Source organism: Homo sapiens, chromosome 13 (genome assembly GCF_000001405.40).
Source record: "Homo sapiens chromosome 13, GRCh38.p14 Primary Assembly".
Classification (NCBI taxonomy): domain Eukaryota; kingdom Metazoa; phylum Chordata; class Mammalia; order Primates; family Hominidae; genus Homo; species Homo sapiens.
Window position 1 is genome coordinate 95,098,139 of NC_000013.11, and position 23,549 is coordinate 95,121,687.

Sequence of the window (23,549 nt, forward strand, 5' to 3'; positions counted from 1 at the left end):
AAAAAAAAAAAAAAGTCAACTCATAAATATTCTGAACTGTAGATAATGAAAACACAACATATCAAAATCATTGGATGCAGCTAAGCAATACTTAGAGGAAGTATAACTTTAAATGCATATATTATGAAACAAATGAAAACCAACAGATTAATGTTCAATCTTAAAAAGCTAAAGAAAAAGATAAATTAAATCAATGTAACTTAAAAAATATAAGAAATTAATGAAATAGAAAATCTACCAACTACAGAGAAAATTACAAAATCAAACATGAATTCACTGGAAAAAAAATCAAAATTGATAAACTCCAAGCTAAACTGATTGACAGAAACAAATTATCAGTGTCGGGAATAAAAGAAGAAATTTCACTATAGATTATAAAGACATTAAATGGACAAATGTGAGATTATGAACAGTTTCATGCAAAAAGTTCTCCAGTGAAGACGAAATAAGCAAATGTATTAAAAACCACAATTTGCAAAACAGGAAATATTCACAAATGCCTAATATTAAACATATACAAATACACTTATGTATATTAAAAACTAAAAAATCAACAAGATTTTTAAAAACACGTTTTAAAAAGCTGGCAGGAGATCTGAACCAGTATTTCAGAAAATAAGACACTTGAATGGCCAATTAGCCTGTATGGAAAAAGCTCAATATTAATCATCAAGGCAATGCAAATGGATCATCTATACTCTACTAAAAAGAATAAAAACAAAAAGATTGATCATACTAAATGTTGGCGAGGATGTGGAGCAACTAGAATGCTCATATATTGCCACTGGGTGTGTAAAATAGTACAACCATTATAAAAATCCTTGTCATAGTTTGATTTTTGGTTTTTAAAGTGAACTTTACGAACCCAGCAATTCCACTCCTATGCATTTTATCTGAGATGAATGAAAACATATGTAGTGTACCCATAAACACTTCTATAAGAACATTCATTGCTAAAAACTGGCAACAATTCAAATACCCATCAATCAGAGAGTAGACAAATAAATGTTGATGTCATCATACAATGAAATATCACTCAGAAAAAGAAAACAAAGAAATGAACCACTGAAACATACACAGAACTCAAAAACATGGTGAACAAAAGAATCCAGCCACAGAAAAATTATTGGTTCCATTTATACGTAGTTCAAGAACAGGAAAACTAATTGATGTTGACAGAAATCTGGAAGAGGTGTAGAGGTGTGAAAATTGACTGCAGAGGAGCAAAGGAGACTTCCTGAGGAGATGGAAATGCTCTACATCTTGTTTTAGAGGGTGGATATTGGAATGTACACAATTAGTAAAATTCAACCTAAAAAAAACTGTCGATTTTATTGTATATAAACTATACCTCAATAAAAATAGATAGGGTAAAAAAAATATGACACTAGAATTTCATTCCCATCCCTTTGGCCATGTTCAGGCAGAGGTTGGGCAGTGTATCAATACACAACCATAACGCTAAGAGATGATCTCCTCAGGTGCATTGAGGGTGGGAAAGGGCAAATGTGAGAACTAATGGTAACCAGCCCATGTGCCCTAGAACAAAAATGGCTCCTGATCCATGTTTGATACGTGTCCCATAGGTGGCTGGCCCTTTGCTGCGATGCACAAGCGGCACTATCGGCTTCATGACTCAACGCAAATGAGAGAGAACACTAAGTCAATGAACCCAGGGAAAGGGCTGAAAGAAAACAAGTGAGTCACAAAACTCACAAGTAGAACAGATTACACTTACCCATGCCCCACATCAGATGGAAGTGATACATCCATATAGAAAATAGTGACTGCAAGATTTTAATAAAACTCAGGCAAGTTCTCCAGTCCAAACCTTTTTTTGTTCATCTTATCAAGAAAACTCAGTAGGTATACAGACAAAAATGAATGTAATCAATCAAGAATAGCATAGAGAGAATTTAAAGGTCCTCAATTAAGTAAACATTTGGCCATTTTCCTCTCCTGGGTAATAGCTGTCCATTTTATCATTACTAAGGATGCAAAATGACAAGAAGAGAAAGCACCACGAATGGCCACTATTGTTTTGCAATGGACATCATCCAATATGCCAGAATGGAAAGTTCTATGCTCTGCTGAATACCACCAGACTTGATAAAAATGAGACTCTTAATTTTTTTCTTTAGGTCTTAATTAGCTTCTTGTTAAACTACAAACATTATCATTGGAACACACATGCTGGGAAAAATTGGAACACTGGTTGCCAGCCTGGGAAGCCTGGGAGGGTCCCCAGTGATTAACTGTCACCACACTAATGGTGACAGTACTGCTTTCTACATGTGCTATCACACTGGAAAAAACCCAACCATTGCATCTTTCATTAAAAAAGAAAAGGTAAAGGAATTGTTAGAGTGGGCCTGTGTGAATCCTATCATCCTGATCTCAGAAATCCAGGGGTCAAGAGTTGGCAAATATTTCCAGTAACTCATGTCATCAACTGCCCTGTCTATTAACAAGGAAATCCACTTTAATGTGGCAGTTGGCATGAATCATTATCTCTAGGGCTGGCATTTTCACAGACTAGTCCATCCTTGTAAATGCAGTGACTAAAACTCTTTTGTTGACTTTGAAAGCATGAGAACGCCGTGATTCAGTTAAAATGGATGAGTTTACTTTTGAAAGACTCAGTAAAACAGAGATCTTTCAAATGACGGCAAGGCGACCTAACTAACGATCTCTTTTGTCCAATGGGGATTTGAGGGTAGGAGTTGGGGGAAGGGGTGAACAAACCTCAGAAATCTCAAAATGACAAAGTCATTGTTCAGTGTGCTTTCTACACACTTTCCCTGACATCTCTACACAATGAAATGTAAGGGTCAGTGGTACTGAGACAAGTCAAGGCAGTTCCACTCTTTTGCTTCTATAAAAGCGAGTGACCCAACCTATTATACTCAAGTCTTAGGATGGCTTTGTTCTCCACATCCAGATGCAGCAGCTTTTTCTCCTGCCCCTCATCCTGCCCTCCCACCCCCCTAGGGAAGAAATGACTGAGGACACCTCCTTCACATTTTCTTTTTCTTGGGCATTTCACTTCATAAAGCTGCAGTCAATGTGTTTTGTTTGTGGGAGGAGGGACTGGCACATTCAGTGGTGGTCTCCACTGCTGCCTGCATTGGTGGCTCAAGTAGCCTCAGGACTAGTCCTTTGTGTTCCATGAAAGGATATGAAAAGTCAGTTATTTAAGCTCAGTCAAGCTGCTGATTTTTTTTTTTTTTTAGATGAGGGGTGTGTAGGGAAGAAAGGTTTTGCAATTCCGTGTGCCTCAATATATTACAGTATTTTGCTGAGTGCAGCTGTGTGCAAGTTAGCACACTCGGAGCACTCCCAAATTTAAACAGAAAAAATTAAAATGCCTAAATCCAACCTCTGCATCTTATCTTCATTTTTCATTTGTTTTTTTCTAGTAGGAAGACTTCTTAGAGGCAAAGATTTTAGCTAGCAGAAGTCTAGATAACTCAGACTCTACACTCAATGTTATCAAGGGCCAAGGAAGTTTCAGCAATATTATGAAAATTACGTTATTATGAGATATTTAGTGCTCACTGGTTTATTCTGAAAACAACTGATTTTGATACTGTGGTTCCAGAAGAGAAAATAGCCATTAAAGCCTTCAGGGATAATAAACCTAATATCTGGAATACAAACTCATGTCCTAATACTTATGGGTCTGGTAACTGTCTGACAATTACCTTAATGCAGCATAATGTCATTGTCAGGCTATTTCTCCCACTTAAAAATATACGTAGTATTTAAAAAGTACCTTTTATTTAGTGAGCTTAGATGTTATGCTAAGAATGTTATTGAAATGACTTCATTTTATCCTCACAATAACCCTCATGGAATAGGTAGAATTTTCTCCATTTTACAGAGACGTAGCATGTGGCTTTGTGAGGAAAGAGAAGGTAAGCGGTAGAGCTAGGAGTCAAACTTAAGAAGGATGATTCCAAGCCTCTCCCATTCCATCCTACACTACACTTGAAATTTTTTATTATTATTTTTTGGTTCTTTTGAGTCTGGGTCTGGCTCTGTTGCTCAGGCTGGAGTGCAGTAGCACAACTGTGGTTCACTGCAACCTCGAACTTCTGGGCTCAAGTGATCTTCCGGACTCAGCCTCCAGAGTAGCTGGGACTACAGGCACGCACCACTACACCTAGCTAATTGTTTTATTTTTTTGTAGAGACAGGGTCTCACCATAATGCTCAGGCTGGTCTCAAACTCCTGGGTTCAAGAGTTCTTTCCAGGTCGGCCTCCCAAATTGCTAGGACTACAACCATAAGACACCATCTCTGGCAAAGTCTTTTATTATTTTTATAGAGAAGGGGGTCTCACTATGTCGCCCAGGCTGGTTTTGAACTCCTGACCTTGAGCAATCCTCTCACTTCGGCCTCCCAAAGTTCTGGGATTACAGGCATGGACCACCACACCTGGCCCCTACATTATACTTTGAAGTTATTTACTTACAAGTGATATCTAGTCACACCTTTTTTTTTTTTAGATCGAGTCTCGCCCTGTCTGGAGTGCAATGGCACAATCTTGGTTCACTGCAACCACTGTCTCCTGGATTCAAGCAATTCTCCCTGCCTCAGCCCCCCAAGTAGCTGGTATTACAAGGGCCCGCCACCACGCCCAGCTAATTTTTGTATTTTTAGTAGAGATGGGGTTTCACCATGTTGGCCAGGCTGGTCTCAAACTCCTGACCTCAAGTGATCCACCCACCTTGGCCTCCCAAAGTGCTGGGATTACAGGTGTGAACTACCACACCTGGCCCAGTCACATCTAATCTTATTCACAGTAGCACACTCAACACTCACACCTTTAAAACCTGAAGCTGGGCCGGGCGCAGTGGCTCACGCCTGTAATCCCAGCACTTTGGGAGGCTGAGGTGGGTGGATCACGAGGTCAGGAGTTCGAGACCAGCCGGGCCAATACGGTGAAACCCTGTCTCTACTAAAAATACAAAAATTAGCCTGGCGTGGTAGCATGCACCTGTAGTCCCAGCTACTTGGGAGGCTGAGGCAGGAGAATGGCATGAACCTGGGAGGCAGTGCTTGCAGTGAGCTGAGATCACGCCACTGCACTCCAGCCTGGGCGACAGAGCGAGACTCCGTCTCAAAAACAAAAAAACAGAAAACAAAAACAAAACCTGAAGCTTTTCCTAGAGAACCAAGAGCACTTGCAAAGGGAATTTTCATGGCTCTGATATCCTGAGGTAGAATCACCCTAAACAGACCACATAAATGATGCTGGCTTCCTTTTAATTTTGGAATTGAGAACAGCTCCAATTTTGCAAGCAACTATAATTTGACAGGATTGGCAAGATATCTGACAGCTTTAACAGTTGATCTAGTAAAGCATTCACGGAGGTGTGCAAACCTAACTGGCCTTCTACTGGGACACAGCCTTGTGAATGACACATGCCTGAGGGGATCGACTATCCTGCAGTGTGGGCCCCCTATTCAGAAGCAAGGGCTTTCATTAGCCACACAAGGCATTCTGACCTGGATGTCCTAAAGAGAAACTTGTCCAAACCAGTATCCTTTCTTGTTTTCCTGATGCTGGTACAACCCCATCTTTCTGACAGTCTCCCATTCCTCTCCATATCCTTCCACCCAAATCTCTAAACTCTAAATTCCTGTGCTTAAGAAACAAGCCTTCTTGTGATCTGGCCCCTCTGCATCTCTCCATCTGATCTCCTCTAATGCCTTGTCTCAAACCTCCTGATGCAGCTATTCCACACTGCAGTGTCCCTGTAGATATCCTAAACTCCTGCACTTCCTGCCATATGTGCCTCCTTCTCCCCTACATGGCTCAGGAATAACCAGGAAGCCTTACCAGCTTCCCCAAGCAGGGCAACAGACAAAGCCCTTTGCTGCTGTGATGTGAACTTGTATTTGGCCAGCATGGAAATAAGGGATACACAATACAAAATCCTTAAAGTTGGTTTTGAGGTTTTTTTGGTTTGGGTTTTTTTGTTGTTGTTGTTGAGATGGAGTCTCTCTCTGCTGCCCAGGCTGGAGTGCAGTGGTATGATCTTGACTCACTGCAACCTCCACCTCCCATGTTCAAGCAATTCTTTCAGCCTCCCAAGTAGCTGGGATTACAGGTGTGCACCACCACTCCCAGCTAATTTTTGGGTTTTTAGTAAAGATGGGGCTTCGCCACATTGGTCAGGCTAGTCTGGAACTCTTGACCTCAAGTGATCTGCCCTCCTCAGCCTCCCAAAGTGCTGAGATTACAGGCATGAAAAAACATGTCCGGGTCTGATGTTGGAGATTTTCATGGTCTTTCTTATGTATATATCACACACATAATACATCATCTATGAATTTTAAGACACATGTGAAGCTATTAGCACACAATCCTATTTTCCTCCAATTCTCATCTCCACCCCATTTATTCTCATCCACACATAATTTGTTAACAATTTTTTAAAGTGAAGATTTCTTTCCCAAGGCTTCGACTTGTCAAACAAATCTTTCTTGTGGCATTCCTGTTTCATCAGTTTATATGATAAGTATTGCCATCACAAAATTACAGTAACAAGGATAAGTAGCATGAATACGTTGAGGAAGAATCACAACTGACTCTGAGGAAGCATAATGAGGCCAAGGATTGGGGCAGAGAATGGGGTCCGCCAGAGGCAGCCCAGTGGCAGGCATGTGCTACAGGTGGAGTGGAGGGTGCTGTGAATCCAGAAGGTGGTGAAAACAAACAAGTGGATTAGAACACAGTCCTCAACCTTTTTGGCACCAGGGACTGGTTTCGCGGAGGACAATTTTTCCATGGATGGCGATGGAGGTAGTTTCAGGATGATTCAAGCCCATTACATTTATTGTGTACTTTATTTCTATTATTATGTGGTAATATATAATGAAATAATTATACAACTTACCATAATGTAGAATCAGTGGGATCCCTGAGCTTGTTTTCCTGCAACTAGATGGTCCCATCTGGGGGTGATGGGAGACAATGACAGATGATCAGGCACTAGATTCTCATAAGGTAGATGCAAGCTAGATCCCTAGCATGCACATTTCACAATGTTCACAGGGTTCGTGCTCCTATGAGAATCTAATGCCGCCGACGATCTGACAGGAGGCAGAGGTCAGGCGGTAACGTGAGTGATGGGGAGCAAGCTTTGTTTTCTTGTCCACCGCTCACCTCCTGCTGTGTGGCCAGGTTCCTAACAGGCCACACAGACTAGTACTGGTCTGTGGCCCAGGGGTTGGGGACCACTGGATTAGTCAACAAGAGTAGTTGTTCACTTCTTCATCCTCCCTAGAGCACTAATTAGCAAGAAAATTAAAGAATAAATTTAACATTTACCCCTGGAGGTTCAAGGACAAGTTAGAAGTTAATACCTTAACTTTCAGTTTCACTCAAATGTGCATAAAGCTCCATTAGTGCTGCTATTGGTTTCACTAACTCCATCCACAATTCTCCCGAAAACAGAAAACCTCATACAACAAAGCCAAACCTGAAACACAATCAGGTTTCCACCAGGCAGAAGTATGGTGACTAAGCCTAGTGGCCTCGGCACTGCTGGACACTGAATTGCAATGGGGTAAGTGAAGAGTTCCAAAGCCAAGGGAAGCCTCCCAACAGCATAGCTTGGAATGGAGTGATCTGCTGTCCAACCCCAAGATGCTGATGCAGATGATGATGATAACAGCAAGATAGAGGAGACATCCACTGCCACAAAGACCTTTTTCAGGTGACCGCAAAGAGCAGGGAGAACTCTGAAAACGACCCTTTTCAGGAAGCAACCAGGCACAACTCAGAGGACAACCACCACGTGTGCACAGGGTAAGCCGGTTACCGGCCTCGCTGATTTTCAGTAAAGCCCATCAACTGGGAATAACGTCTCTAAAGGAGAGAGATGCATGTGCACACATCACACATCCTTGTTTAACCTTAAAATTACAAGATGAGCTGCCACTTAGCTGCTCAAAGACCTTAGAGGGGTTCAGCTCTCTATAGGTTCAACTATGAATTCCATACACAAGTTTACAAGGCTGGCTAAAATGTAGACTCCGACTGCCCTAGAGCCCTACATAAATCATCTATTACAGCCACAAATGTTATTTTCCTCAATTTACAGTTTAAGATGGGCATCAAGCTACTTTAATTGGAAGATTACATATCAACGGTTTAATTGCTTCTTGAGGGGTATGTGCGTGTGTGTGCGTATATATGTGCGCGTATATATATATACATATATACGCACACACACGTATATTTTAACCAAAAAGTAACTAAGGCAGGTCTCAATCGATTAGAGGTTTATTTAGCCACAGATGAGAATGTGGCAGGGGCATCTGTGATGCTTTTTTCTAGAGGGAGTTTTGTAAACTTCAGTATTTAAAGAAGAGCAAGCAGAAGGGAAAAAAAAATAAAAAAAAGAAAAAGGGAGGGAGGGTAGACAGTGAGATGGTCACCTTCTTGTGAGACCCTGATTAGCCCCAGTATATCTACATTTTACATGTGAAAAGAGGGAGTAGAAGAAAATGTGGATTGTGCATTGTCTCACACTCAGTCGATCTGTATTTTATATTAAGATAAAGGAGGGAGTACAGGAAATGAGGCAGTGACACAGGATAGTAGGGTTGTGAAATCATGGCTGTTTGGGAACAAAAGAAAGATGGTACTGGTGACTCTGTTCCCAAGCTTAACTTTCCCTTTGGCATAGGGAGTCTGGGACCTGAGATTCTATTTCTCTTTCACACATGAAATAAGGCACCCAGACTTTGTTGTCTAAAATCAAATACATGGGGCTGTGGGGGAGTTCAGATCCTTTACAGACAGTTTTTAAGAGTATTCAGGCTGGGCGTGGTGGCTCATGCCTGTAATCCCAGCACATTGGGAGGCTGATATGGGTGGACCACCTGAGGTCAGGAGTTCAAGACCAGCCTGGCCAACATGGTGAAACCCCATCTCTACTAAAAATAAAAAAATTAGCCAGGCATAGTGGCAGTCACCTGTAATCCCAGCTACCCGGGAGGCTGAGGCAGGACAATCACTTGGAACAGGGAGGCAGAAGCTACAGTGAGCCGAGATGGCACCATTGCACTCCAGCTTCGGTGACAAGAGTGAAACTCCTCTCAAAAAAACAAAACAAAACAAAACTAGAGTATTCAAAGTATAAATTGTGACAGAAACATTCCATTTAATTAAACCATGAGGTGTTTTTATTTCACAAAAATATTTATGCTGTGTACTGTATATGTTTATAGTATTTAAATTTAACTCTTTAGTATACTTATGTAACTTTCTATAAAGAATGCACTTCCAGTGAATAATATTAGTACAATGTACAATCACCAGTTGTTACAAAGTTTTAATGTAAAGTTATTTTTTAACAGTAACTATAGAAATGTGCCTTTGCTTTTGCCACAGTTAATTGTTTTTCCTTGTTTATACAGTATTACCACAGAGCTATATATATCACAACCTGAACAAAGGTGCATCAGAATACTGTAGATAAAGATATAGGCTGGGCATGGTGGCTCACTCCTGTAATCCCAGCACTTTGGGAGGCTGAGGTGAGTGGATCACCTGAGGTCAGGAGTTCGAGACCAGTCTGGCCAACATGGTGAAACCCTGTATCTACCAAATATCTACCAAAAAATAAAATTAGCCAGGCGTGGTAGTACACACCTGTTGTCCCAGCCACTGTGGAGGAGTCTGAGATGGGAGAATTGTTTGAAGCTGGGAGGCAAAGTTTGCAGCGAGCAGAGATCACACCACTGCACTCCAGCCTGGGCGACAGAGCGAGACCCCATCTCAAAAAAAAGAAAGAAAGAAAAGAAAATCTAGTGTCCTCTCTCTCCTGAGCTTCCAGATGCTCATATCTAAAAAACAGTCACAGTTTCTCTGGTACCTGGGTTTGAGACCAGGTTTATCATAAAACCAGGAATAAAGTTATTTAAATGAGTAGTCTCCACAGCTGGGAATCTTACTGACCACTCAAAATGTCTAAAAGAATTTTGGGGAAAGGAAACTAAGTTTGTCTACCTTTAATTCTAAAGACACAGGGGGTAAGAAAAAAAGGCTAGTACCACAATTTCTGAAAGGTTTATATCTAAAATATCATAGGCTCATATTAAATGAGCATTATATGACTTTCTATAGGGAGATGGGTGGGCACCAGATGACAAATAATCTATTATTAGAGACTTAGTGATAGATATGGTTTGGCTGTGTCCCCACCCAAATCTCATCTTGAACTGTATGTAGCTCCCATAATCCCTACATGTTGTGGGAGGGACCCAGGGGGAGGTAACTGAATCATGGGGTTGGGTTTTTCCCGTGGTATTCTCGTGATAGTGAATAAGTCACATGAGATCTGATGATTTTATAAACAGCAGTTCCCTTGAACATGTTCTCTTGCCTGCCGCCATGTAAGACATGCCTTTGCTCCTCCTTCACCTTCCACCATGTGAGGCCTCCCCAGCCACATGGAACTGTGAGTCCGTTAAATCTATTTTCTTTTTTTTTTTTTTATTTTATTTTGAGACAGAGTGTGTCGTCCAGGCTGGAGTGCAGTGGTGCAATTTTGGCTCACTACAACCCAAGTTCAAGTGATTCTCCTGCCTCAGCCTCCCAGGTAGCTGGGACTACAGGTACCCTGCTCATGCTTGGCATCTCTCTGCCTGAGGAAATGCCACTTTGTTCCCTTCTGGAGACCTGGCACCTGTTCCTCCTCCATACAATGTGCCCCTCCCTCAACCTGCCCCCATATCTTCTTTGCACGGCTGTTTCCTTATTTTTCAAACTCAACGTCACCTCCTCCTTGACTATGCTGGTCCAGTCATTAGCAAACACTTTCCTTTGCTGAACACACTAGACCTATACTAACTTAGATTATTTATGTTTATTGGTCTGTTTATTGTCGACCTCCTGCACTAGAATGCCAATTCCTAGAAGCTGATACCCAGTTAACTGCTCCATGCTCTAGATCCTGGAAAAGTACTTGGCATACAGGAGGTGTCCAAGAAATACTGATTGACTCAACGACTATGAGTGAAGTTTAAATGAGATGGGGCAAGTGAAATATGCTCAGAGCAGTGCTCAGCCTGGTGTTATATGATCCCTTCTTTTTACAGGACCTAGAGATTGTTTTATTACAGAATGGAGTGGTAAAGAAAAGCATCACTAATGCGAAAGAGAGACTTTCGCTGGTCCTTAAAGGATGAAGAATTAGAAGGGTACATTTGAGGGTGAGCCACAGGTGTGCAAACACACACACACACACACACACACACACAGGTGCCAACAGTCTGGCATGCACATAGTTTCTTTCCAAAAGTTAAAGAGAGATTAGATTTAAGGACCAGAAAATTTGAATTTTGCTCTTTGTATGTCCTTTGTAGCCACAAATCAAAGGCAAGCAAAGCAAAACAAATCTATTTAGATATTTATTCTAACATATGGCTGCACTGTGAGAAGAGGGTTTGAGTCCTCACTCCAGCATTAGGTGTTGCATGGCCAGTCTTGGAGGAAGCCATAATTGAACTTAAAGTGAAAGAGCTAGGATTGGAAATTTGTCTCGTGCTGAGACCTTAACCATTCTCTCCTACAGTATCCCTTCTATTGTAAGTCTTATCACACAGCATGGTAACTGCTTTCTATCTGTCCCTCCCAATAGAGTAAACTCATAGAAGAAGGGAATTCAATTTCACTTAGCCCCATATCTCCAAGCCCAACATGGGGCCTAGTACACCCAAGATACTCAATAAATGCTTCTCAGGTGGATGAAGATAAAGCCTCTATCTTTTCCACCTCTGCATACTCAGCATATAGTAGGAGCTCAATAAAAAGCTGGTGGGAAAAAAAAATAAAAAGGAAGACATGTAATAAGAATGACACGTATTGGCCAGGCGTGATGGCGCACGCCTGTAATCCCAGCACTTTTGGAGGCCGAGACGGGCAGATCACTTGAGGTCAGGAGTTCCAGACCAGTCTGGCCAACATCGTGAAACCCCATCTCTACTAAAAATACAAAAATTAGACAGGCGTGGTGGTGGGTGCCTGTAATCTCAGCTACTCGGGAGGCGGAGGCAGGAGAATTGCTTGAACCCAGGAGGCGGAGGTTGCAGTGAGCCAAGATCGCCCCACTGCACTCCAGCCTGGGTGATAGAGCAAGACTCTGTCTCAAAAAAAAAAAAAAAAAATGAGATATATTGAAAAGAATTACAAATTATTTTCACAAGTCACATATTTGTAATAGAAATGTTTTCCTTTTGGGAGAAACTTTGAGATATTCCCAGATACATCCAGTTGTAAATATAGTCACAAAACACCATATCTCCCCATCAAATACTACAAATAAATTTGCACTATTAAAATTGTTGAAAACTACTGATTCCAAATCATTAATATTAAATTTCTAATTAAAATGCTAATAAGATATTATTAATACAAATATTACAGGTAGGGTACCTATTAATCCAATTATTGTTTTAAGAAAATGGAAGAAGAGATTCATGATGCTGGCATTGGTGCTGATATTAGGAAGTAATCAAGCACTTCTGGCCCAGCGCAGTGCCTCATGTCTGTAATCCCAGCACTTTGGGAGGCTGAGGCAGCAGGATCACTTGGGGTCAGAAATTAGAGACCAGCCTGGGCAAAATGGTGAAACCCCATCTCTACTAAAAATACAAAACTTAGCTGGCCATGGTGGTGCACACTTGTAGTCCCAGCTACTCGGGAGGCTGAGGTATGAGAATTGCTTGAGCCCGGGAGGTGGAGGCTGCAGTGAGCTGAGACTGCGCCACTGCACTCCAGCCTGGGCTTCAGAGCAAGACCCTGTTTCAGAAAAAAAAAAAGAAAGAAAAAAAAAAAAAAAACCACAGAAAAAAAGGAAGTAATCAAGCACTTTAAAATGTGAATGTTGACTATCATCTCTATGTTTTTGTTTGTTGATTTACGCAAACATACTATGTTTTGAATGCCAAATTCCTATTCAAAGAACATAAGTTCCAGATGAAGATCTTTATGCTATTTGTATTTCAATTCTTTATGAAAACAAGATATTCACTTTTAACCTGTGAAGAGCCATTCTATGTTCATAAATGACTTGGCTTTAGAAATATTGTAGATGTTCAAAGCTGTTACAAGTTTTGAAAAAGCAGACAAGAAAAACATGTTTGAACAACTCTTTATAAGCCAGATGTGCACTGCCAGCCTTGGCTAAATTATCTGATTAGCCCATGGCAACCTTGAGGTAACTTGCAGACTGTTCATTTGTATTCTATAAGTTATTTATTTCCAGTGATATATTTATATCTTATGATATATTCAAAAACTTCCCTTAATTCTGGCTTTCCTTCCAAAAGGCCTAATCAAAAACCTCACCTTTCTTTATTCACTACTGTTGCACACCTGAGCCAATCTGAGTTCCAAAGTGACACATTACCCTCGCTGCCCCTCTGGGTTTCTTCCCTTAATACAGGACAGCAAATGACACCCACTTTTAAGTTACCAGTGTCACTGTTCCCATCTGCAATGAGTGCCAACATCTAACTATATAAAAACAAATGAAAACTCACAAATACAAATATTTTATTGAAGTCCAAAAATCAAAGTTAGGTTAATTGCCTCTATCTGGCCAGCAAATCTGGTCACATGTAAACCAGAATTTCCTTATCTCAGCGATTTCATCGGGAGAGTAATAAAATCTGTGCATGGTTTCAGACTTGCTTCTACAGAGCCTACATTCTAGACACCAAGCCACAAGCAGAGGGTTCTCCTCTCAGATCTACCCCTCCAGTCTTTGGCAAACTCAATTGGAAACAGTTCAGTTCTGACCCAATGGTCCACAGTTCCAGACTCCTACTTACAAAACCAATAAAACGATCACCATCATACAGAAAACGTAATCAAACATGAATGCTCTGGATTAAAAAGGTCACATGAGGCCAGGTGCAGTGGCTCATGCCTGTAATCCCACCACTTTGGGAGGCCGAGGTGGGTGGATCACCTGAGGTTAGGAGTTCGAGACCAGCCTGAGCAACATGGCAAAACCCTGTCTCTACTAAAAATACAAAAATTAGCTTAGAGTGGTGGTGGTCATCTGTAATCACAGCTACTCAGGAGGCTGAGGCATGAAAATCGTTTGAACCTGGGGGGCAAAGGTTGCAGTGAGCTGAGATCGCACCATTGCACTCCAGCCTGGGTAACAGAGTGAGACCATCTCAAAAAAAAAAAAAAGAAAGTCACATGGATAAATGCAACTACATTATTTATTTCTATAGCTATTTGATTTTAAATCTCAGCTTTAGTAAGAATAACAACTCGACAGTCTTAGTCTGAATGTTCTGGTAAGTGTAGAATTTCAACTCCCTTTTTATGAAGATACCTAACTTTTCTGTGGATTTTAATCTTCATTCTATTTGTTACTATACATCCTGCCAAAGTTCTTTCTGGCTCAAGAATACCATCCGTAGTTGGTTCTGATGATACGTAGTTCCCCTGTCGATCAGTCAGCTAGATAACACCAAGGGTAACATCTTGACAAAGAAATTTCCAGTTTTTTTAAACTCAATTGTTTCAGTCAATCTCAGCTGCTGGGTTGAGAAGGCCTCACTTTCTGTGAGTTTCTCTGGGCTTAGGAGGAACTGCTAGTCACTGTGATTATTACCTATTGAACCTAACGAGAGCCATCAAAACCCAGGGCCCGTGATGTCAGCAGCATGTTTATTACCCATAGAACCTGATGACAGCCACAAAACCCAGGGCCCCAGTGTCCGAAGCATGTTTTGCTAAGGATGTTAAACACAAAGTCATCCAGGAAATTTCCTACTATCTGAATTTTGAAAGGGGCTAAATAAACCCTGTAGAAGAATTGATGCGGTAGACGAGGCCTAAAATTCAACTCCATTTCAGATGCCCATGCAATGGAGAAGGCTACTATCCACACAGATAACATCAGGCTTCCTGTATGGCTCACCCCACTGGCTCTAGAAATAAATTTTAAAAATGTATCACAGAACTGAGTCAAAGTAGACAAAATTTCCTTTGCAAAACAAAACACCTCCCTCCTTCCCCCCTAAAAGATCAACGACTTTAAGCAAAGCCATGAGGTGAACAAAGCTAACTGTCATTTTGACCTTGCTTTGCTTTAATTCAGGAGACTACTTAGAAATGTACCGAGCAACCCCCTTCATTCGGCTCAGCTAGCAGAGCTAATAGGCTTCTAATTAATTTCCAGAAGATTGCTGTTATAACTAACAGGTTTTAAACATTTGGTTGATTGGGGAAAATGAATTGAATATAATGTATTTGATTTGGAAAATTAGTTTTCATTCTATGTGCTTACCATAATAGTGTTTATTTTAAGTTTACATGATTCCATTAAGAGTCCCAGAACAGCACTGGGCTGTTTTCATCCTTACAGAGAGGCCTAGGCAACTTAAAAAAAAAAAAAAAAAATTACATTTAGATTTTTGTTGGCCTTTATTTGAGGGCAGGTTAAATGCATTTTTTTGGGTGGGTGGCTTTAATAAAAATTTTCACTTCCTAATATAGCAACAGGCCCAAATACTTTAAAATGATCCTGGCGATACCTCAGTCAAAAGCCCACTCATCGAATGCAAATCCCCGGGAGAAAGGCTCGGCACACAAAGTAAGATGAACCAGTTACTGCATTGTTTACCACGTTTCACTTGATTCTTCCTGACAACCATTTAAACAATGAATGTTGGGAAATGTCCCTCAAAGAATCAACAACAATGGCAGGGACCAGAGCTTTTATATTTAGCTAATACTATTTTTAAAAGGAGAAAATATTTCTTCCTGAAGGGATTATGGGAAGCCTTATTAAAGACACCTGCAAACAAAACAAGTGACAATAGATCTTTATCATAATTGATAACTAAGTTATCCTTTAGATAAAACTCCTTTCTTGGAGACAATAACATTAGGATTTAACCTTCGCTGTAGATTCAAGAAATCAGCTAATTGGGGCCAGTAGGATTCCACAACATTAAGTTTACCAAGATTATGTGAGTGGATAATAACAAACGCCCTTGTCTCTCTGGTTAAATAGAAGTACAACGAGACTAGAATTTTCCCTCCTCATGCTTCTAAGAAATGTTTTATATTGACATCAAGTAGCATCCATCCCTCTCCCTCCATATGTGAGACAAAGCACATAAGGGATACTAATTACGACCGCTCACTCTGCTAAGCACATAGTGGGCCAGCCAGCTTCGGAAACTCAACCTTTGCCTAGCTTCCTGTTGCAAAGAAACAGAAACTTTCACAAAATCTTCTTGAAGTAATTAACAATCCCTGTCAAAACGTGTACAGACAATAATCTGCATTCTATGTAAACGGGGCAACTGTTTTAGTGATGGCTTCTGAGGGATAAATAATATAGCTAAACCCAGGAGGGCACATTTTAAAAATGTTTGCAAAAGAAAAAAAAAAATCAGAGGTCCTTGTTTGCAGTAAAAATAATCCACCTGTGAGTCTCAGCTTACTTCACCTCCATAAACAGTGGATGCCTTCGCCCATGGGCTATACTGTTTGCAGTCACATGCTCATTTGCTGCCTTGCTGTGTGACAAACAGGAATTCCTATAAGCATTTCAAGCCTATGACTGATTTTTCTTACATAGCTAATTTTCCAAATTAAGTAATTTTGCTTCCTTTATAACTGTGGCTCCAGAGGAGATCTAAAGCATCTGAGCATTGAGAAAAAAGCAGGGGTAGGGGGATCACAGGATCAAGCCAAAATTGCAGACCCCAACTGTAGTATTTCTATTTAATGGCTTTAAATTCAGCTAATGATTACAACTATTCTAAGTTGGCACTTAGAAAAAGTCACAGAGGTTCAAATTTCATAAAGTGTTAGCAACAGCAGCTGAGATTTTGGAATATGTATAGCTTTTAATAGATGCATTTCCAAAATAAACACTTGGGAAAAAAAAAGTGCCCCAGCTTGAACCACTGACAAGTAGACAAAATTAAACAATAGGAAAAAATAAAATAAAACCAAACCACATGAGCAACAGTACTGAATAAGGAGATGAGAGATGACCCAATATTATTTTTTAGAGCCTCAAGTTCACAAACAAAAGAAAAGTTTTACAGAAGGTATTTCTGTAGGATTGTTGGTTTTTTTTTTTTAAAGACAGCTTAAGACTTAGAGCAATCAACGTGTGAAAACAAAAAAGACATTTTCTGAGTTGACTTTGATCCTGTACTCAAATTGGCTTAGATATCCTTGCCTTTAAAGGCTTTGTATCCGCAATAACTGCTCTCTATTGTCCTTGTTAATAAAGTATTATTTTCACCTTATTATTACTAATCTTTTCTTTGTAAGTAACCACACCTGGTTCTATCCAAAAAAAAAAAAAAAGTGCCTAAGTATTTGCCCTTTGTGGTAATACAATGCATAATTTAGTTAATCTAGGCTATCTTTCCGTGAGAGGTGATTGTTTCTGTATTATGAAATGTGTTCACAGTAAAGCAAAATCCACGCCAGATACCTAGAGGCAGACGGAGAGCCACTTACCAAGCACGAAGCTGCTTCAAACTAACCCTGACGCGACTGTATAGCCACTCCCACACACAAGGTATTACTCATGCCAACTTAGCCTCTGAGTTATAACCGCACCTTTCTTTTACAAACATGGCCCTTTATTAAGTTAACATTACACACAGCCAGGCCGAGAGTCCCACCCCCAGACCCCATGAAAAGGGCTTGAAAAAATAGGAACTTCCGTTTTCCATTTGAGATCCTGACATTACTCTCAACGTTACCTGGATGAAATCTAAAAACGTCAGCGGCAGCAAATCATCCAAGTGTCCAATGTCTTTGGAGAAACGATTTAAAATTCTTCCTGCAAGAACAGGATATGAAAAATTACTCATTTCCCCAGATAGACCCTTTAAGAGAAACAATTCGCAAACAAATCAAAACAATATTTTAAATGCATATGTATTTAATATATTATTCATATGAAATAAGCCGATGTCAGTGGTAAAGAAAAAGAAAATAGGACGATACCTAAAGAGAAACAAAAATATCATCAAATGGCAGCGGGCAGGGAGTTGAAATGTGGCCCTGATTTTAAAAGAATTAAGGGAAAAAAATCTTGTGACAGTATCAGGAAGGGTTGGTGGGTTCTAGAATGTTCCCTCCTTTTAAGACCCAATCTAGGACTTCCATCCAAGTGCAAAGTAGGTAGATGAACGTACAGAAATTGATCCTAATTATTTCACTAATTTTGCTTTATCAGAATTTCTTTTGCTAAGTGGTATATTTTTTATATAAACATAATGATAACCTCTGTATTTTTTTTTCCCCAGCCTGCTTGACTGTACCTCACATTTTTGGGGAAACTTGGGATCCTATCATTTTCCAGGCTGTGAGTTTACTACTGGCAAACAAGTTGTCATTTTCAGATGTGCAAACAGTATGACAAAAACAGGCTTAGTCTTATCTAAGAACACAAGAGGAAATTATGCAGGAAAACAGAAATATTATTTAATGACTGAAGATCACTGCTTAGCATCGACTTTATTTCCCGTCAAGTAGAATCCAAGAAAACAGTATGTCATAAAGGCATCACAAACAGATCAAACCTGGTTTCTAATAAATATCTATTCTTTCAAATGATTTCCTTCAAAAAAATGGAAGCTATACACACATAGCCTACGTGGATGCAGGTGACCCCTGAGAAGTGTGTGTGTCTAGGCCTCTGAACTTCTTTTCTAATCAACGCTTCCGGAAGCCCTGCTTACAGATGAGATGTGTGGCCTCCTAGGGTTTGTCAGGATTGACTTCGTCCTGGGGCCTTTATACCAGGCTGCAAGTGGACCATGAATGGTCAGAGGCTGTAGACGGAGCTGCCTCCCGCTGCTGGGGCTAATGCAGCCTCTGCAGTTCTCCTGAGGCATCCAGCTGGCCAAGAAGCACAGTGTGTACAAGTTGGAGCTGCACCTCAATTTTCTTGTCTCAGGCTTCGGACACACAGACTCCAGAAAGCATCATTCAGTGACACCTTTGGCAGGCCCAGTGACAACTTTTCTGAGCCTCTAATAACACCTCCTCTAGAGGGTTGTCCTAGGGATTAAACGGGCTCATGCCTGTTAAAAAAAAAAAAAAAAAGCCCAGGCACAACGCCAGGTACTTTTTCATGGCTGCTAGAAAACCAAAACCAAAAAGGTGCGATGATGACTATGACCCACAGGTTCTGCAGCATGCCACCGGGGAGGAAGCTCAACTTTTCAAATGCAGGTCCTGATGCAGTGGCCCTGGGGAGGAGCTGGAGCCTGAATTTCCAACCAGCTTCCGGGGGCCCTTCTGCTGTTTGCCAGACCATGCTATGCAGGGCAAGAGGTCAGGCTATTATTTTATCAGCTATACTTAAGAAACATTAAAATTAAATGAGTATTTTTCCGACAGATACTTATGGATTTTGTTTGTCGTCCTTCTTGTTATTTTTTCTCATCTCAGTGTATCAATACCAATAAAAGGAAAATATAAGTTAAAAAATTTAAGACATAATTATTAAAATATGAATTATTTCTTAAGTGGAAAAGTTAACATAGGCAATATTCAGAAACATTGCAAGTATGGTTCAGCTTTTAAAAAGTTGAAAGCAATATTCAAATTAAAAAAAAAAAAAAGATAGGCCAGGTATGGGGCTCACACCTATAATCCCAGTACTTCTGAAGGCAGAGGTGGGAGCATTGCTTGAGCTCAAGAGTTCAAGACCAGCCTGAGCAACATAGCGAGACCTCATCTCTACAAAAAAGAAAAGAAGAAAAAAAGATAAAAAGGCTACATAAATCATTAGTATGTGAAAACCAACCCTTTATCTTGACCATTTGGGAGCATCTTAAAATCTGAAAGACCCATGGTTGGAAAACAGCATAAAATACAAGGAAAACAAAAACAACTGAGAAAGCCCACCTCCTCACACAGCTACGCCAATAACTGAACTGAATGTCAAAGATCAGCTGAAATCAAAACTCTTATCAACAATGATCTCAGTGTAGAAAGTGTAAGATTAGAAGGTTCAATAGTTACTTCCTTGTTCTAAGAAACAATTCAAAGACTGGTGTTTGCAAAAAGAATAAAAGTTTTAATTTTTTTTTTTTTTTGAGATGGAGTCTCACTCTGTTGCCCAGGCTGGAGGAGATCTCAGCTCACTGCAACCTCTGTCTCCTGGGTTCAAGTGATTCTCCTGCCTCAGCCTCCCGCGTAGCTGAGATTACAGGCACATGCCACCATGACCAGCTAATTTCTGTATTTTTAGTAGAGACGGGGTTTCACCACGTTGGTCAGGCTGGTCTCAAGCTTCTGATCTCAGGTGATCCACCCACCTCAGCCTCCCAAAGTGCTGGGATTACAGGTGTGAGCCATAGCACCCGGCCAGAATATTTTCATCTGGCTTCGCAGTAAACTGTCATAATCAGAGCTGTGATGTCAAGTTCACAGTCTCACAGTCATTTTCCCAGAGGTCTCCAAATCAAACACTTATGATAAATTCCCTCCATGCACATGCCACACCTCTTCATCCAAATGACATCTGGCCCCTGCTGGAGCATCTCCAGGGATGTCGAGAGAAGAGGAGTCACTGTTTCCTGAGGAGACCCAATCTATTTTCGGACTGTTCTGTTAGACAAGGCTTGCTTACATTAAACCGAATCTTGCCTTCCGGGAACATCCAATCGTTGCTGCTGATTCTGCCCTTACAACCATACAAAGTGAATCGAATTTCTCTTGACAGGGCAGCTCTTCAACTACTTGAAGAAAGTTAATCACAAGTTTTCCAGACTTCTCACAGGCACCTATCCCTTGGGTACCTCAATTATCTCTCATAACACACAGGGTCCCATGTTGGCCATTGCCTCAGCACATAGTCAGGTAGCCAGCCTCTCTGAATGCCTGGTAGCCAGGATTAAAATAAATACCCTAGGTATTATCTGCATATCTCAGGGTCAGGATATATCCCATGACTAAGCCCACAATCACAGTAAATTCTTTGAGCCAGACCACATTTTGGACTCACATTTAATGTAAATCCACATCACTCCAATCCTGCATGATGGCACAGGTAGATTTTTGGGAGCTGGACAATAAACAACTATTGAGTGCATCCCCACGGACCCCAAAATTCAATTTTATAAGAAGTATCTCAAGGCATTAATAAGTGCATCAAAGATGGTCAATGTGGCATTATTTGGTAAATCAGAAGCAGGAAACAACCGAAATGTCTGAAAAGGGTCTATATTAAGTTATGAGCACACTAAAATTTTCCTCTGAGAGAGAGAGAGAGAGAAACCAAGCTCCTTTGAAGTCATAATATCACATACAGAGTCAGGTTGCTCCTAACTTTTTTCCACAACATAGAATATTATAAAAGGTGTTAATGAACTTTTTGTCAAAATACAAATTCATAAATGACTCTATTTTACAAACTGATTCTAGAATCTAATCTGAAGTTAAAGTCACCTCCGGAATTCTGATACGTCTCCCATGACGAAGACTTCCCAATTCCCTTATAACCGTACTACAATTTAAAACTTGTAAGTTCCCATGTCTACTGTGAGCCCCATTCTTTTTTGTAACAAAAAAGTACACTTAAATATGAAGATATTGAGGCATATTTGCATTGATACATATTTTACGTCTCATAAAACTCATCCATTTCAGGTATCCAATTCAATGAATTTTAGTAACTTTACTGAGTGATGCAGTCATTACCAAAAATAAGTTTCAAGACATTTTTATGCCCCCACTAAGATCCCTCATGGCACTCACAGTGCCTCCCTATGCCCACCCCAGCCTCAAGCAACTACTTTCTGCCTCTTTGCTTTTTCAGTATCTTTCATGGAAAAGGAATCACACAATATGTGATCTCTTGTGTCTGGCTTCCTTCCCGTATCTCAAGATTTTGAGGTTCACCCATGATGTAGCATGTGCCACTCATTCCTTCCTGGTAAGCCCATTCTGTACCACAAAAATGGTCTTAGGTGCCACATCTGACCTTGAAGGTAAAAGTAGATGTGTTTAGTGAACTCTTCAATTTTGTAAACTTCTTTATAGGTATCCACACTTATAGCTTCACTGATGGTTCTGAAAACTAATACTTTTGATAAGAATTGGCCTTTGAGCCAGGCGCGGTGGCTCATGCCTATAATCCCAGCACTTTGGGAGGCTGAGGCAGGTGGGTCACGAGGTCAGGAGTTCAAGACCGGCCTGGCCAAGATGGTGAAACCCTGTCTCTACTAAAACTACAAAATACTTAGGTGGGCGTGGTGGTGGGCGCCTTTAATCCCAGGTACATGGGAAGCTGAGGCAGAGAATTGCTTGAGCTCGGGAGGCGGAGGTTGCCATGAGCCAAGATGATGGATGCTACTGCACTCCAGGCTGGGCGACAGAACGAGACTCCGTCAAAAAAAAAAAAAAAAAAAAAGAATTGGCCTTAGATATTCCTGCAGAGAATTGGAAGCCAGAAGTACAGAGAGAGGGTGGACCCTCAGGTACCCATAGTTGATGGTAGGTGGAGTGTGCAAAGGGCAAAGGTAGGATGGGGGAACCACTATCTTGAGATGTGAGAAGTAGAATGTAAATGCAAGCAGTCTGTCCCAAAGAGCAGAGTCTATCAAATGGTGTCGAGAGAATTGACCTGTGCACTCCAGGTACAATGTGGTGCCACATGGCGGGGCACAGACTGGTCCAGAGTACAGGCTGTTGGGTGGAGCCTGGAGACAGTTGCTGGGCTGAAAAGGATGACAGCATCTATGACACTGTGATCTGGGAGGGGAGGAAGCCATTTGAGGGGATGGGCCAGCCTGGACATCCTGTATCACTCAGCTTAGACCAAAATGAGAACCAAACAGGAGATCTAGAAGTCCAGTATTTCAGTATATCTCATCAGAACAGGCCATCAACATGGCAGAGGCTCACAGAAGGCATGAAAGAGAAAATGAGGCAGGGACAAGACATGAGGTACTTATCCTCCTCGGAGGCTCAGTAGCAACAGGACTCAACAATACAGGGCAACTCACCCAACCTATACTGACACTCAAATTCCTGACCTATAAAATGGAGCTGATGATATTTGCCTGGACTACTTCACAGGGCCAAAGATCATGAGGATCAAAGAGATCATGATTATGAAGGGATCTTCTAAATTCTAGAGTAGCTCACATGGGTGAGACATTCTTTGTATTATTATTGTAGGATTATAGAGCTTAAATGGGTGCGAAGGATCCCCAGGGCTGATAACATTCAAACTTTATGGGGTTTTTTTTTGTTTTTTTTTTTTTGAGAAAAGGTCTCACTCTGTTGCCCAGGTCAAGGCTCACTGGAGCCTTGACCTCCCTGGGCTCAACTGATCCTCCTGCCTCAGCCTCCCAAGTAGCTGGGACCTCTGGTGCACCACCATGCCTGGCTAATTTTTAAATTTTTTTGTAGAGATGAGGTTTTGCCATGTTGCCCAGGTTGGTCTCAAACTCTTGAGGCTCAAGCAATCTGCTCACCTCTGCCTCCCAAAGTGCTGGGAATACAGG

General features: G+C 40.9%; 1 protein-coding gene across 6 annotated transcripts in view; it reads right to left on the reverse strand.

Annotated features, from left to right (window-relative positions):
- ABCC4 (ATP binding cassette subfamily C member 4 (PEL blood group)) overlaps positions 1 to 23,549 on the reverse strand; it is a 281,617-nt gene that overhangs the window by 78,304 nt on the left and 179,764 nt on the right. For all 6 annotated transcript variants that reach the window (NM_001301829.2, NM_005845.5, XM_047430034.1 and 3 more), the window contains one exon: positions 17,784 to 17,863. In NM_001301829.2, coding sequence (NP_001288758.1) covers positions 17,784 to 17,863 — 80 coding nt within the window. The remainder of the gene's footprint in view (positions 1 to 17,783; positions 17,864 to 23,549) is intronic.